This window comes from Homo sapiens, chromosome 14 (genome assembly GCF_000001405.40).
Source record: "Homo sapiens chromosome 14, GRCh38.p14 Primary Assembly".
Classification (NCBI taxonomy): domain Eukaryota; kingdom Metazoa; phylum Chordata; class Mammalia; order Primates; family Hominidae; genus Homo; species Homo sapiens.
The window spans coordinates 27,321,488-27,340,198 of record NC_000014.9 but is presented as its reverse complement, the minus strand read 5'-3'; the positions used below and the strand labels follow the sequence as shown (position 1 = coordinate 27,340,198).

The following is an 18,711-nucleotide window of genomic DNA, read 5'->3' as shown; positions in this document are numbered from 1 at the left end:
TCTCAGGCCCATGAAGTGTTTTTCACTACAGTTTTGTTATTAAAGGCTTGCAATCATATAAGTACAGGAAAAATAAATACATATTATATTGCAAATCCCTAGAGAGCACAGTGCGTAGCAAATGATCTTTTCATATCCTCCTCTTCTGGCTTGAGATAAATATAACATAATTGGGAAATGGCAGTTTCAGTAAAAGAGATTTAATTTGTGATTTTGCATTTTCAATTTTTTACCTATATATAATTTTCGAATAAATTTCAGATAAGACATATAGTACAAAAGAGTTAGAAAAGTTAAAGACTCTAAGCAGGGTCTTACCCTAACCCATCCTCATCCAGTAACGTAGAGCTAAATACAAAAAGAAATGTCCATAAACATTGTACCCTAGTTGATAATTCTGAAATTACTTGTATACTAGAGTTGAGCAAATAAATAAGTAAATTGTAGAAAATAGAAACTAGGTGACTATGGTAAGAGGTAGAAGTCACAAATAATGAGGGAGAAAGCTAGAATAAACCCTGGAAGAGAGAGAGAGAGAGAGGTACAGATGGATACTTAAAGAAATGTTTCTATACATTTATTTGCATACATACGTTTAGTATACATACATGTATGTCCTAGCTCTGTGTGGTAAGATGGCCTAGAAACAATGAAATTTCAGTAGAAATTATCACAGCTAACACCCACATATATCTTGGTTTCTAAATACTATTCTCTGATAAACTGTTATAGAAGATTCTTGGAGAAATGACTGAGTCTGAAGCTAGGACAGAAAATACAAGCTCATCCTGTACTGCAGTAACAGAAAGAAAGGAAATGTCCACTTTGAGGCAGGATCTACTGATGAATGTTAAAATGAGTGAGCAAAACTTTAAAGAGAATAAGACATGTGTACAGTCTCAAGGGATCTTGCTCAAAATATTTAATAATTACTCTGGTGGTTTTAAAATATCTCCACAAATTATTTAATATTCTTCCCTCAAGGACGTGGAGGAGCTTAATTCTTCCTCCTTAAGTGGTGGCTGGATTTAGTGGTTTGCTTCTTTAAAAAATAAAATATGGGAAGGGACAAATCAAAACTTTATAGGAAAGAACCAGGAAAATACACCTTACCCAAGTGATTAGGGCTAAAATCACCAGTAACATTCATGTTACTATCACAAAACTCTCCCCTGATATAATGTAAGAAAAGAAAGCACTTCATCTCTCTGTCATTCTTACCCCAAAACCATAACCACATTCTTTAAGAAAGCGTTAGAGAAATTCAACTGAAATACATTTTACTATACTGGTAGGCATAAAAAATGAATGCCAAGATAAAAAACGAAAACAAAAATGGAAACAAGCCAAACCAAAACAAGAGCAAGGAAAGACTGAGAAAGTATCACAAATTAAAGGAGACTAAGAAGACATGATGGCTGAGTGAATCATGATATACTGTACTGACTCCTGGATCAGCAAAAAAAAAAAATTGTGATCAAACTTGTTGAATACAAAAAAGTTTGTAATTAATACATTTTACTAAAGTTAATTACTGAGTTTTGATAAACACATCAGATTATGTGAGCTGTTAACCTTAGGAATAGCTAGAAGCAGAGCACATGGGAACTCTGTACTATCTTTGCAACTCTTCAGTAAATCAAAAGTCGTATCGAAATAAAAGGTGAAAAATATTCTTTTTATCACTAATTTTGAGCTCATGCTCAGCTTATGTCTTTCATTTTGTTTTAATTATTTTATATCGTTTCAATTTTTCTAGGTATAACTGCATTTGACAAACTATTCCTTTATGTTTCTTTATAAGACTTCTGACTTTTAAAAAATTGACTGACAAAGTTCAAAAAAACTTATTCCCTGATCATTTCTTTATGCTGCCAATGTCACTCACATCCAAGATCTCTGACCTGCAATTCTTCTAACTAAACTTTTACAGCGTTGACTGTCATTCAAAGAAACATAAATCCCATCCTCTGGGAGTTATATGTGCTTTACGGAGAGCATTGCTATATTTCAAATGATTCTGTTTGTTTTATGATTCATCAGAAAAGTAAGTACATGAAAAATAGCCTGAATTCAGGCTAAGATAATGTATGTATTTTATTGATATCAGTCTCACTTATAAATGCATCATTTAGTGTTAATTGTTTTTAGAGCAGTAGATATATACAGCAGAACTGAACAAGTAAAAGTGGCCATCCTATCCTCAAATAAATTACAGAATTAGCACATAAGGATCATTGCAACTTTCAGACATGAGTTTATGTATCCTGGAACATACTGATTTCCAAGAATTGTATAAATTGATGCTTTTAAGTGCCTTTGCCAATTAATACTAGTTGTTTTCAGTGTCTGACTAGGGTATGAAAGAGAACTAAAATTGTTATTTAAAATACTTTTAAATAACTTAAGTTTTTTCAAATGCTCATGCTTACCAGGCATCTAAATGAGGCCCTTATTTTTGGTCAATTCTATCCTAAGATGTTATTTATGGCCTCCAGTTAGATAAAAAAGTACTAAGGTAGTGAATTGGCCTCATAGGCTTATCAAGATGGTCTGTTTCTATCTTAAATTTCTACCATGATGCTTCTTTGTTATGTATTATATAATCTAAGAGTGAGGTAAAAGCCCTATGTCTGGGTCAAAGACAGTGTTAAGAATAAAATAGTGACATCCAGGTCCAGGAGAATCAAAGTAGATATAAGAAAGAGGTACTAACAGAAGTAATAAATAGCAAGCTGGTGTGATGGTACAGATAAAGATAAAGAAGTTTGAAAAATGTAGAGGTCAAGAAGGAAATGTTGTTCAGAAACAGTCTAGTAGTCAGACATCGGGAAGTATGCTCATGCTGGGGATCAATTTAGTCAAACTCAGATAAGGTTTTGGACAAGAAAATCAGATACAGCACATAAGAGATTAGAGGACCTTTGGTTTAAGTCAAATCTGACCTCAGAGAGGTACAGAATTTTCACTGTATCTTGCTGGAATAAGATTCACTGAATTTGACTAATCAGGGTAAGGAAAGTCCTGACTGCTGAATTGAAGCAATTCTCTTTTCCAAACCCATATTCTGAAATATATAAAGTTACATTCATTGTATTCATCCACACAATATAGTCTGTATTTTTAACTATCTTGTCTTTGATAAAAGCATCGATTTAACACCCGATCACCCATGCTTAAATCTACAACCTACTTTTTAAATTTCTCACTCTCTTCCATGATAAATAGATAAGGGCTTCTACCCACAAATGTATTTGGCATTCATCTCCTTTCTTTTGTGGTATTGATTTAGTTTCACCTCTCATCATTTATTACAAGACACTTCAATAATCTCTTAGAAGTTTTTCTTGTTACACATCTTTTCCATATTTAATTAACTTCTTAAAAGACTGACACAATCATATCAACCATAGCTCAAGAAACTCTGCTTACAGAATGAGCTTACACCTTAAAAACAAAATAATATATACTTCTTAATCAAGCTGTAACATATACTTTCCTGCTCATGCAGACTTTGTTGACTTAAGTTGAATCACTTAATCTTCCCATCACCCTATACGTCTCTCCATATCTATCCAATTACTTATATTGATACTGCTCTAGTCATTTTGCCTGACCCTTACAGTTCAGCTTAAATGCCACCATGCCACCATTTCTTTTATCGAATACTTTTTTTCTAAGCCTACATACTACTATTCATGATGTTTATATGTTTTACATTATAGTAATCATGTTGGCTTTCTTCATCAGTTGATTGTCAACTATTGAAGTGAGGAGCTCTTTCTGGTTCAGCTTTGTATAACTCAACAACTATCCAGATGAAATAATTTATTGAGAATCAGATTGAGCAATCGGATAGAAAATTAGAATTGTTTTTTAATAGAAAGCCAAATAATAACAGAATAAGGAATGGATGTGAGGTAAGGTTTTTCAAAAGAGGGAAACCTCTAGTACACAGCATTCCCTAAAATGTGTCTAACATTAGCAGAAAAATCCAATTGCTGATTGATAAAAACACTGATTTTGAGCATCTGACACTGAAAGAATAATATGCCTATGCTTGTTGCTCAAAATAGACATTCTTTTTGCTAGCCAAATATTTTCCATATTTAACTCTCAGTTAAATTTAGAAAGTCATTAGAAAGTATATACCAGAGAGTAGCTAGAGTTGGCTACTCTAAACAAATTATCTAAATGAAGTATGTGCTTCCATAACTTATAGGCATGTCCCACAATTACCAGGATGGGAAGTATATAAATGTTTCATGCCTTGTAATCCCTTATTGCAAGATTATTATTTTCATCTAAGAGGAACTAATTGGAGATCCAACTTTAACTCATCTCTATCATCATCAACCAATCACAGTGGAACACTGTCCAGTAAATCACCTGAGTTTCATACCCATTTGTTGACTTGCACCATTTTTGCCATTTGACAGACCATGTATTTGTCGAGCTATATTCCTAAGGCTGAGAGTAAGCTACTTGCTTTAATTTCACCCTAAAATACAGATAAAATCCTATCAATAGCAAAGGATAATTTTTCAATAAAGAAAACAGGAACAAAACTAGCAGTTCATTCAGGAAGACAAAACAAAACAAACCATTCCACATTTTCTAAAATCCTGGACCTTCAGGTCAGTGCAGCTATTGTGGGACATCATTTCAGAATTCTGTCGGTTGTACTGTTATTCACAGCTTTTCAGCCCTCAACATATGTCCATCTATCTCCTTTCTATCTTCCATTTATCTATCTATCTATCATCTATATATCTCTATCTATATCTCTGTCATCTATATCATCTCTCTAATAAAATGAAAATAAAAGTGTCCCTTTAGTTCAGTTATGTGGCGGAGATAGTACTGTCATGTCAGTCTCATATTCCGTGTTTTTTACTGCATTACCTAACCTCCCTGTAGTTACATGATGACTTGTGAATATTTCAAATCAATAGGCTATGATTGGCACACACATATTCTGACAAACAGTGGAGCTGAGCTCTTTGTGTAATGTCTTACCTCATCACAGTAATCAAGGAGATCACAAGACAGAAGCAATTAGCATAATTCCATCTTATTTTGAAGTCCTGAATAGGTAGTAGGAATCACCATGGATTTACCACCTATGATAAATGAACCATTATGTTCAGCTGCTCCGATGTTGGGGCTGTGTGCTGTTGCAGAATACCCTAACCTATTCCGTCTGTGCTTTAATAAGAGAGGGAGATACTATTCATACTTACGGTGTTCACAGATAATCAAAAAATCAATATTTTCAAAAATCTACTCTAGAAATAGGGCACATCAAAAATCATTAAAGGGTTCTTTCCGCATCACATACTGTGCAGATTTGCATTACAAATATGGTCGTTCTGTGATTCTCAATCCTGGGAAATATATATGTACATATGCATATATATACATATATATGTCATTCACATTCGTTTTTATATCAACCTCTCAACTCACATTAATTAAATCACAATGTCTCCTTTGATCTTGGGCATCTAGATTTTTTAAGTTCTTGTGACTCCGGTTCATACTGATGGTTAAGAACCACTATGGAGTACAGTTATAGTCTGAAATGATTGCTTGCTTTTGGATAAATATATGTCAAAATTTTAGGAGAATAGTTTTACAGTACATATGTTCTATAATAAATAATAACATTAAGTAATAATAATAGAGGTGAAAACACCAACTGACTCATCTTTATTTCTGTAATATCACCTAACTCGTTTTTAGTAATTGTCTGAATCTAGTAAACATATATATCAGTGGAAAAATACAGATTTTGAATCAAATAAATTTATGTTCCAATATCAGTCCTCCACTTACTCACTGTGTGGCCTGAGGTAATTTCTTAGTCTCTTTGATGCTAGTTTCCTCTTCTGGAAACTTGAGATAATACCCTTCTTACAGTGTTGCTTTAGGATTATGTGAAAGAATTTTTGTAAGACCTAATCAAACTATCTTAAAGTTGCTTGACAAAATTAGGTACTTTGATATAATATCAAGAGTGCGGAAGCTGCATGATGGCTCAAGAATACACCTCACAGTAGTTTTCCTGTGCTGGAACTTCCAAAATTGAAGGCCTGTTCTTTTGGTTGGGGTTGTGCTTCCTGTTTGAATTTTATATACAGTTGGTAACACATTATATACAGAATGGTAACACACTATTCTCTATCAAGAGTGTATTTCCTTCCAGCAGTGCCTTCCTGTTCTCTTCAGAATTCTATGAGCAATATATATGTATATGTGTGCATGTGTGTGTGCGTGTGTGTGTGTGTGTGTGTGTGTGTATATATATATATATATATATATATATTCTTTTCCATATATATATATATGGAAAAACATTTGGCAATGAGCTTTTTAGAGAACAGACATTAAATGGCAGTAAGGTAGATAAATGACTTAGAAAAAGCAAGAGTTATCTTTATTCTTGAAAGTAGATCTATAGAAACATGTCTTAGAAAGAAAGTGCTCTCCAGATGACTTGAGAATTTGAATATTATTTATTCTTATTAAGCTCTTGGCTCTTCTTTGACAAACTTCCATTCCATCTGAGATCCTTGTGTGGTGCTATGTAGGGAAAGTTATTTAGATTTGAAAAATACCTCACCTTCTGGGAACTTTTGTGATGACTGGTAGAAGAGGATGAATAAAAATTACTTTGTGATAAAATTGATGAATATAAAGACATATGAAAGTAATTTTAATAGGTATACTAGCAATGAGCTATGAAAAAAGAAGTAATGATTCACAGTGACATTCATCAATTAAAGGAATAATTTCTCATCAAATAAATTTTCATCTCTTTTTATGAACTAATAAAATAAGAAAAAATGTGTTTGTGTGAGGCAGGGAAGGGGACAGAAAAGAATGATGAGAAGAAATATATTATTTTTGCTGCTCCAGATTCTTAATGTCTTAACATGAGATAATAGACTTCATAAGACCATGCAAACATCTCAGCCATTTGCTACATTCATAGAAGGTGTTCAAGCTGTTGAAAGAATAAATCAATGACTAAATGAGTGTTTTAAGTCAATCACCACTGACTTTGTCAGTCTCCCTAAGCCTGATCAATAATTATTTGCCTAGAAATCTCTGGTAGTTTATGGATCTTACAGACTGTTGAATTGATTTGACAGAATATGGAGATTAGTTCTAGAAATAACCTTGTAAAATAATGTTCTCAAAATGGAAACATTTATGAAGATATATTTTTGAGACATTAAGCAAAATAAAAAGGATAAGTATACCTTCCATAGAGATGACAACAAAATTTACACACACACACAATCCAAATTAAGTGAAGGACAATAACCATTTAAGAAAATAGGTATTCATGTATTTGACCGTGTCTAAAGTGATATTTTTAGTCTGTCTCAATACCTTGAATAAAAGTCCTCCTTATGACAGGACTTGGTCACAATTAACGTTGTATTTACTATTTTTATAAAGTCCCAAATTGCATTAAAGTTGCTCCTGAAGGTTGAAGAGATACACGCAAAAAGAATTGGTAATATTTTGTTTTGTCTGGTATACAGTTCTTTACACTATACAAATGCAGGGGAAAAATTTAATAGTGAAGGCATATTTAGGTAGGTACATTTATATTTATATAATTTTTTTCATAAGAAAATTTTCTGTAAGAAACTTGAACTGTAACTTTTTGAGGAAGTCAAGTGATTAAAAGAACCTAATGAGGAAAAGAATCAATGGCCCAGAAGAACCGAAATTAGAATTAAGCATTAATTGATTTTGAAAAATCAGATTCAAAGAGAATATTAAATGCTATTCCTCTGAAACCATTAAGCTTATAGTAATGAAATGAGTGGGTATTGCTCCTAAAGTGGAATATTTTGATTAGATAGATTTCAAGTTTCCAGTGGTTGTTTTTGAAGAAAGTTTTTCTGAGGGACATCAATGAAGTCTTCCTTCGTTAATGAAAATAACATAAAGCCAATGAGAGAAAGCTCCTTACAGGAAGGAAAACAAACTCAAGATCTGGTATAATCACTATCTTTTTATAAAAGTATGCATATCATCAGATATTATAAGTAGAGATATGTTCTAGTTATAAATATAAAATGATTAATTTGGTCTTTCAAAGTCTCTTCCCATCTTATCTTTGCTTTTATGTGTAATTAGATTTTCATATTTTGCTTTTGCCTTCAGTATCAAACAGTTATAATCTAATACATTGCTGTTAAAAGAGTAAAACAGAGTAAAGTGTTGTGCAAATACTTTCAACTTCTTACCTACTGAAAAGTATAATCTTGCCTTTGTACTCTAAAAACAGAGAATTTTCACAATTAATGTTGTTGAGAAATTAGCCAGCCTATTGTAACCATCTTTTATTGTTTATGAAGTATCTTAGATGAGCAGATGTGTTTATGTAAGTCGGTTTGATAATTTATACTAAATACAAAATTCTTCATGAGTGCCAAAAATAACAGGTGCTGAATAAAAGAACTCTAAGGAAGCTTTACTGAATTTCATCAATTTATCATTTAAAAGTGAAGAGTATATGACAGAATAAAACTGTAGGCATTAATAAAGGACCAGGGTGCTTGATAAGCATACATTCAAAAAAGAAAGAACAATTATTTAGATAAGACTGTATCCTCTGAAAGTCCTTTCTCTCTTTTCTCCCTCTCTCTCTTGCTCTCTCTTTCTCTCTCTATATATATACACATACATACATATATACACAGAGAGAAATATACCTGTAGATATATAGAAAAATATATATATAGAGAAAGAAACTGTCATAGGATGCAGCCTTATTTAAATAGATTTTTGTTTCCCTTTGAATGTATGTTTAAGTTTCCTAGTGCTTATTAATGCATGCAGCTAGTCTCCGAAGAGAGAAAGAGAATAATTTTTGTTTGTTTGTTTTCTTGTTTGTTTTGCCTGCCCAACAGATTAACTGAGTGCATGGATGACTGAATTTCATCATTGATGGTATACATTAAAGTCAATATAAGAATAGCTCATGAAAACGAAATCACCATAGAGTTAATGGAATATGTTCGGATTACATGAGCTAATATTAATCTGGGGGACAGCTAGAGTCTTATTCAAAGTTATTATTTCTTTGAAAGTCTCTATGAACTTTTCACATCTATACTATTTACATGGACACAGCCTTCTGTGCTGTATGATGTTAAGATATTAATAGTAATATGAAAAGGCTTTCCTTCCTCATTCAAACAGGTATCATCTTTCCAACAACAACAAAAAACTATAGCTAATATATCTGGAAATGGTACTTTTAGAATATTAATTTAAAATTATTAGTAAAATCTTATGTAATATAGCAATGAAAAACAAACTTTCAAAATAAATAGCACATTCCTAAATTGTACTAAATTTTTTTCTGCAGGTTCAAGTAGAAATTTATTACATTGCTTTGCCTCAGAGTAACCATAATGATAATGAGTTATCAGTATAGTGGGCCAGTTTTCACTGAATTGAGGTACTCTATGCAGTAAGCAATAGCACTACTGTTATGACATTTCATCAATAACAGTTGATTCTGGAAGTTCCCAGCTAATTTTGAGGAAAAGAAAGATGTTAAAGAATTAGAATCGCAAAATAATTCTGCACTCTTGTGGTCATAATTTTTGAAAAGGTGTATGTTTGCATGCATATTTTTAGATGAAGCTTGAATTAATTTATCTATTATGTGAATTCAAAGGTTTCTTCTTTCATTTCTACATTTCCCATTTTGAAAATTTCAATCTAAACCCTCCCCTATAATAGGACAAGCCTTTGGCTGCTCCCACAGTACCACGTTTTGAATGAGTCGGTACTTTTTGCTTTGCTCTGGCTCTATGGTGTATATAGATTAACTTGATGCCTCCTTTGTTGCCTATAAATATTTAACCAAAAGAAAATCGTACTTTGTGATTATTAAGCACAAACTCTTGTGTCAGACTTCCTATATTCCAAATCTTGCTGTACCACTCAGTGACTTTAGACAAGATGGCTTTTCTCCTCTCCTCTCCTCTCCTCTTCTTTTCCTCTCTTTTGTTTCTTTTCTTTTTTCCAGGTACCATATTGCTCCGTCACCCAGGCTGGGGTGCAGTGGCATGATGGTGGCTCACTGCAGCCTCAAACTCGCAGGCTCAAACAATCCTTTTGCTTCAGCTTCCTGAGTAGCTGGAAGTACAGATGCGTGCTGCCACGCCCAGCTAATTTTTTTTCCCCTTTTGTAGAGATGGGGGTCTTGATATGTTGACCAGGCTAGTTTCAAACTCCTGGCCTCAGGCAATCCTCCCACCTCGACCTCCCAAAGGGCTGAGATTACAGGCGTAAACCACCATATTCAGCCAAGACACCATTTCTAAACCTTGATTTCCACTGTTGTAAAATGACTATTAATACTTCAGATCTATTTCTTTGGGTCTTAGTTTTAAGTGACATAATAGATAGTCTTCAATATTAGCTATTATAATTATCTTACTCTTGTGGCCCACAGTGGTTCATTTGCTTCTCTTAATTCTCATGCCGATTGTTTCCTGTGTCATTGGGCATACAGACATTTATTTGTGTCATGATGAGATTATAGATTTATTGAAAGTGGGTACTGTCCTTTATATTTCACAGGTATTATTCATAGCCAAAAGTCCTCCACAGTGAAAATAGAAAGCATGGTATCTTAGCACTCTCTTGCTGATCTCATTGTGGCTAAGATGAAAGACAGTGAATTGAATAATTGCAAAACAAAACAAAAGAAACCTACAATTTTTAAAACTACAATATAAAAACAGTATGCTAAGCAGTTTCAACTATTTTATCTTCGTTAATTTTCACAGAACATACTATGAGTCTTACAGCTAATGTATTGGAGCCAGGCTACATATACAGATCTCTTTCATTCCCAAACCTGGGCAAAGCCTACCTAGATGTCAGAAAAGTGGCATAGGTAAAAACATTCCTATTTTTGTTTATAGAATTAAATACCTTTAACTCCAATTATAGCATTTTATAGCACAATAAACATACCATATAACCTGAGCCATATAAGTTACTATTCTGTATTCTTATTTAGCTAAAGAGAATCAAAACCTGAGAGCTTTTTATTTTTGATTCGGTAAAGTGGTTGTCAGTAAAATAGTCTCATTCTTTTTCAGATAAGTTTTAGGATAAACAAAAGACTTCAGTTAAAATATCCAGTCCACTTACAAATATGATGACTGAGACTCGGGCCTGGGTTTACAAAACAATATGAGGGCTTTTTTTTCATTCTCTAGTAATACCACTTAATGTCTATAATTAAAGGAATAAAGGACAGTATTTTTTTATTTTTAGCTATCACCAGCATCCAAGTTGTTTTACATATCTGAAATGTATCTACATTGAGACTGAGTTTAAAAAGCAAACATTTACCAGGAGCAATAGATGTATGGCTCTGATATATTTGTAGAGCAATTTTATATTTGCCCCCAAAGGACAATTGGCTTTGTAACCAACATGATTTATCATGGAATGACAAGATAGGAATGAGCTTGAGATTCCATAAACTTCATTTTATCCCTCCAAATAGAACCCAAACTAATTTATCTGAAGCAGATAAGAGTATTTCAAAGTGACCAAAAGGTTGTAATGTGGACTGCTACTCTGTGACCAGCACTATAGTTCTGCTAAAGAACGAACTGGTCACTGAAGCCACGACATGAAAAATTGGTTAGTGTAATAATCCCTTTCTGGAGAGGTAACCTTTTATTCTGCACAAGACACCCACTGCTGGTGTGAGTTAATGCATCAGTTGTTCAGTAGAAAACCACAGAAACCATTTTCATCCTGAAAATCAGAAGCAAAAACAAAACAAAAAAAGACTTAAATGAGCAAAAGAAAGTCCTATAATATCACAGAATACATGTTTTTACTGAATAATCTATCAATTTTCTACTCAGACTTCATTCAGGAAGTTATTTATTTTTATTAAAGCAAACAAAACAACAACAACAACAAAATTCTCCATTGCTGCATCAACATGCAGAAAAATAGGACCCAGCATGCTCAGGTCAGAGTCAGTAAAAAGCAACAATAAATACGTTTGCAAAGAACTTCCACTTTCCAGTTCTGTATATAAGGGGCTTAGATGTTGCCACTCCAACCTAACAACAAGTAAAAACCGAACAGACCGAAAAATTAAGAACACTTTTTGGTTGCCTAAGAGCAGTGAGGACACAGGGCAAATTGCTGCCCTCAAGATGGAAGTCATAGACAAGTGAATAGAGGGAAGAATGGCTTACTGGGGCAGAAACCACCATGGGGACCAGTGCCATGGTGGGTTAGCAAAATATGTACTGTAGTTGATCCATTGTTGGGGGCTCAGTGTGGATAAGTCTGACAGTTAAAAACTCTAGATGAATCCAGTCATTGAGGGTCTCCCACAACAGTGTGAGATTTACCTCTAGGAGTTCAACCAGGTTTCCAGAGTAAATATTGGAGAAAAATCTCCTGGTGCTACCGGCAGGGGGAGGGATAAATGAGCGATACTGAAGTACACCAAAACACTCTGTTATTAGGCCTGCCCTCAGGAGAAACTAGTCTACCTCATCCTAACCTGTTGGGGTATTATCAGAGTCTAATTGATTTGGAGGAAGGGAAAGACCCAACTCCAGCCCACTCTAGCTATCTTGCCCTTGCTGAGAAAGATGAAAAAAACAAAACAAAATGGGGAAACACGTGTGAAGTTCATAGTTCTGAGGCTCAGGCTCACTACAAGACTGAGACTATAGGATTATGAAATGCTTCCACTCCCCCGACACCTTACTGTCACAGTACTAAGAGCCTACTTATAGCATTTCCTTTTACCCAGTACATCATGTCTCACAATCAAGAAAAATTACGAGGCACATTGAAAGGCAAAACATGACAATTTGAAGATACAGAGCCAGAATCAGAATCAGACATGATAGGAATGTTGGGATTATAACACCAGTAATTTAAAACAACTATGATTGATATGCCAAGTGCTATAATGGATAAAGCAGACAGCATACAAAACCAGATAAGAAATGTCAGAAGAGAGGTGGAAATCCAAAGAAAATACCAAAAAGAAGGGATAGAGATTAAAACAAACAAACAAACAAACAAAAAAACACTGTAGTAGAAATGAAGAATGTCGTTGATGAACTTATCAGTAGACTCAACATGGCTGAAGGCAAAATCTATGAGCTTGAGAATTTAGCAATAGAAACCTTGGAAACTAAAAAGAAAGAGAACACAGGCTGAATAAGATGGAGTGGAGTATCCAAAGACTGTGGGTTACATATATTTATTTACAGGTAAAATGAATGATAGCAATGATACAAAGGACCGTGTAAAGGAATTAGGATTATTAGGTTATTATTAGGCACATGCACTACCTAAGAAGGGATACAGTGTTATTTCAAAGTGGACTTTGATTCATTGGAAATGTATATTGAAAACTCTAGGACAACCATTTTAAAAAAGTATTTAAATAAGTATAACTGATATGCTAAGAAAGGAAAAAAATTAAATCATATAAAATGTTCAATTAAAGTCAAGAAAGACAGAAAAAAGTCAAAGAAAAAAATAGAATAAAGAACAAGGGCAGCAAATAAAAAATGAGTAAACAAATATAATAGTTATTAATCTAACTGTATCAATAGTCAGTTGGAACTGATTATTTTCAATTTCCTAAATGTACCTATTAAAAGACAGAGATTGTCAAAATAGATCTGAAAATAATACTCAACTATAAGTTGTCTACAGATGAACCTCACTTTAAATATAAAGGCACATATATATTGAAAGTAAATCAATGGAGAAAAATAAACCATACAAACACTTATCAAAAGAAAGCAGGAGTAGCTATATTATTCTGAATAGTGCAGACTTCAAAGCAAGAAAAATTATTGTGGATAGAAAAGGCATTATATAATGAGAAGGGAATCAGTTATCTAAAAAGACATAACAATCCTTAATATGTAGACAATGAAAAAAAGCATCAAACTATGTGAGGCAAAAACTAACAAAACTGTGAGAAGAAAGAAATGAATCCACTATCACAGTTGGGGACTTTGACACCCCACTATCAAAAATGAGCAAATCCAGCAGGCAGAAAATAAGTGATGACATAGTTGAACAAAACACCAACAATCAACTGGGTAAAATCAGCATCTACATACTATCCAGCAACAGCAGGATTCACGTTCTTCTCAAGTTCTTATGAAACACTCCCTCAAAAAGGCCACATTATGAGCAACAATACACACATAAAAAAATTTAAAAGAATATGTTTGCTCTCAGACTCCAAAGAATCAAACTAAAAATCATTTAAAGAAGGATTACCGGAAAATCTCAAAATATATGTTGATAAAACAACACAATTTTAATAACACATGGATCAAAGAAAAAAAACAGAAATAAAACATATTTTGAAATAAATAAAGAATGAAAACACAACTTATCAAAATCTGTGGAATGCAACAAAAGCAATGCTTAGAAGAAAATTTATGTCATTGAATGCATATATTAGAAAAGAATAAAAATATAAAATTAGTAAACTAAGTTTATACCGTACAAACCAGGAGAGTAAGATCAAATTAAATCCAAAGTAAGCGAAAGAAAAGAAATAATAAGAATTAGAGCAGAAACTGATAAAATTTATGAAGGGGATCAATAGAGAAAATTAACAAAATCAAAAGTTGGTTCTCGAAAAGATCAATAAAATCAACAGGGAGCTAAAAAATACATGATTATTTCAATAGATGCAGAAAAAGCATATAACAAAATTCATCACCCATTTATGATTTAAAAACCCACTTCTCTAAGTATATGAGGGATAGAGGGAAACCGTCTCAATAGGGTAAACTATTTATCCAGAAAATCTACACCTAACTTCATATTTAATGGTGAGAAACTAGAAACTTTCCCACTAAAATCAGAATAGGGCAAGTATGTCCTTTCTCATGACTCATTTTCAATATTGTACTGGAAGTACTAGCCAATGCAATAAGATAAGAAAAAGAAATAAAAGGTATACACATTGCAAAAAAAGCAGTAAAACTGTATTTGCATGCAGATGACATGATTGTCTATGTAGAAAATCCAGAAGAATCAACAAAAAAATTTCTAGAACTAAGTAATTATAGCAAGTTTGCAGAATACAAGATGAACATATAAAAGTCAATCACTTTCCAGCTGGGTGTGATGGCACACGCCTGTAATCCCAGCACTTTGGGAGGCAGAGGCAGGTGGCTCACTTGAGGCCAAGAGTTCGAGACCAGCCTGACCAACATAGTAAAACCCTGTCTCTACTAAAAATACAAAAATTAGCCAATTGTGGTGGCACCTACCTGTAATTTCAGCTATTTTGGGTGGCTGAGGCACAAGAATTGCTTGAACCTGAGAGGAGGAGGTTGCAGTGAGCTGAGATCTTCCACTGCACTCCAGCCTGGGCAAATAAAAAATGGCCAATCACTTTCCTATATACCAGTAATTTTAAAAAAGTGGAATAGCAAATTAAAAACACAACATCATATTCATAAACACTTCAAAAAATAAAATACCTATGTATAAATCTAACAAAATATATACAAGATCTATATAGGGAAAACTACAAAATTATATCAAATGAAATTTTACAAAACTATATAAATAGAGGGATCTTCCATTTTCATGGATAAGAAGACTCAATATTATCAAAATATCAGTTTTGTTCCAAATTCATCTATAGATTCAATGCAATCCCAATAAAAATGCCAGTGAGTTATTTTGTAGATAATGATAAACTGATTCTAAAGTTTATATAGAGGGGCATAAAACATAGAATAGCCAACACAATATTGAAAAAGAATAACACAGTTAGAATACTTACACTACCCAACTTCAAGGCTTACAACAAAACTAAATTAATCAAGGTAATGTGGTATTGATAAAATAATACACAAATAGATAAATGGAACAAAATACAGAGCCCAGGAGTCCACCACCATAAATATAGTCAACTGATATTTTATAACAGTGCAAAGCAATAAAATGGAACAAAAATTGTTTTATCAAGAAAAGGCACTTTGGGAGGCCAAGGTGGGCGGATCACGAGGTCAGGAGATGGAGACCATCCTGCCTAACATGGTGAGATCCCGTCTCTACTAAAAATTCAAAAAATTAGCCAGGCATGTTGGCGGGCACCTGTAGTCCCAGCTACTTGGGAGACTGAAGCAGGAGAATGGCGTGAACCTGGGAGGCAGAGCTTGCAGTGAGCCGAGATAGCACCACTGCACTTGCACTCCAGCCTGGGTGACAGTGCGAGACTCCATCTCAAAAAAAAAAAAAAAAAAGAAAAGAAAAAAAGAAAAGGTGCTGAACATCCACACATAAACAAACAAATTTAGACACAGGCCTTACATCTTTCACAAAAAACTAACTCGAAATGGACCATAGACCTAAATGTAATATGCAAAACTTTAAAACTCCTAGAAGATAACATGGGAGAAAATGAAGATGACCTTGGGTATAATAATGACTTTTCAGATACAACATCAAAGGTACAAACCAAGAAAGAAATATTTGAGAAGTTTGGCTTTATTAAAATTTAGAATTTTTGCACTGTGAAAGACAATGTGCAGAGAAAGTAAAGACAAGCCACAGACAGAGAAAATATTTGCAGTAGATGCATCTGATATAGGAATGTCATCCAAAATATACAAAGAACCCTAAAAATTTCACAATTAGAAAATTAACAGCCCAATTACAAAATGGGCAAAATACTTAGACAGACACCTCACCAAAGAAGATACACAGATGGAAAATGTGTATATAAAAGCATGTTCCACATCATTTGTCATCAGGGAAATACAAATTAAAACAACAATGAAACACCACTGCACACCTATTAGAATGGCCAAAATCTGAAATACTAACAGCATGAAATACTGGAAAGGATGTAGACAATAGGAACTCAAATTATTTGTTGATGGGAATGTGCAAACTGGTATAACCACTTTGAAATACAACTGTCAGGGGTATACAAAACAAAACACTCTCTTACCATACAATCAAGCAATTGTTCTTGATATTATCCTAAAGGAGTTAAAAACATGTTTACACAAAAACCTCAACATATATATTTGTAGAAGTTTTATTCATAATTGCTAAAGTTTGGAAATAACCAACATGTCCTTCAGTGAGTAAGTGGATAAATAAACTTTGGTAATTGCAGACAATGGGATATTATTCAACACTAAAAAAAAATGAACATCCAAGATATGAAAAGATATAGGGGAAAAATTCGGTGCATATTACTAAGTAAAGGAAGCTAATCTGAAAGTCTATATACTGCATATTCCAATTATGTAACATTCTGAAAAAGACAAAAAATATGAAGACAGTAATTAAGATCAGTGGATGCCAGGGGTTGAGAGGAGGGAGGGAGGGATGAACAGGCAGAACACGAAGGATTTTTAGGGCAGTGAAAATACTCTTCATGATATTATAATGATGAATACATGTCATTATACATTTCTCCAAACCCATAGAATTTAAAATACCAAGAATGAAACCCAATGTAAATTATGAACCTTGAGTGACAATGATGTGTAAATCTAGGTTCGTTCATTGTAACAAATCTACCACTCTGGTGGTGGATATTGATAACAGGAAAATGAATGCATGTGGAGGGGCAAAGGATTTATGGAAAATCTGTACACCTTTCTCTTAATTATGCTGTGAAATTAAAACTGCTCTAAAATTAGAATTTAAAAATATGTGATATGCACTGGTCAAAGAGCACCACCTATTTTAACTCATTTAACTCAATTTCTTGCAAAGAAATCAAAAATTTTTTAGATGGAGAGTATATAGTGGCATATATTTTACAGAGATTAAGATTAAATTTCTTAGGAATATCAAATACCAAAACTATGTTATTTAATAAATTTTTAGAAACTATGGATTTAATTATGGCTCTACCCTTTATGTAAAAGGTGGCAGCCATTTCCAAATATGGATTGTTTACTCAACCATATTTACTAAGTGAATTCTGTATTCTATGTTTTATATTAGACCTCGGGACTCAACAATAAACCAGACCAGTATGGCTCTATCTTCATGAAGAACATACACAATAATTCAGGACTCACAGAAGTCGATGAGCAGAACACAGAAGACTCAACCTGAAGAAATTCCATATACGTGCTACTCCTGTGTTAGTGTTTTAAATAATTTATATAAAAGGGCAGAAACCTAGAAATTCATATCAGAATCTATCTATATATCACCTGTAGTTTTTAAATATAATCATGGGTATGTTTTATGTGTATATTATTATTTTGTATTATAGTTTTAGCCATCAAACTTTTAAAGAATTTAACTTACAATTACATTTCATTATATTTTACAGAATTTTCCTTACAGTTATATTCCAGGCTTGTCATGTGAAAGCCTCTTTTACAAGAAATATTATATTAATATTATCATCTTCAAAAGGTTGCTTTCTTTATTTTCCACTAAATTCTTAGTATCTTTGTCCTTACCTTCAAAAATATCAGAATAATATGTTGAGTAATAAGACCACATTTAGATCTCAAAATTTCTAATATTTAACTGAGTCTTAATCATAATAACATTTTCTATAATTTAAAGCTTAACACTATTGAGTGCATAATTCATGGCTAATTTTGTGACATAGCTTTTATTGTCTACACTTATTTCTCCATT

The 18,711-nt window shown here is 33.1% G+C and overlaps 1 long non-coding RNA gene across 2 annotated transcripts in view; it reads left to right on the top strand.

Moving 5' to 3' along the window:
• MIR3171HG (MIR3171 host gene) overlaps positions 1-18,373 on the top strand; it is a 351,396-nt gene extending 333,023 nt beyond the window's left edge. For both annotated transcript variants that reach the window (NR_148991.1, NR_148992.1), the window contains exon 3: positions 18,058-18,373. This is a non-coding gene — a long non-coding RNA (MIR3171 host gene). The remainder of the gene's footprint in view (positions 1-18,057) is intronic.
• The last annotated feature ends 338 nt before the right edge of the window (positions 18,374-18,711 follow it).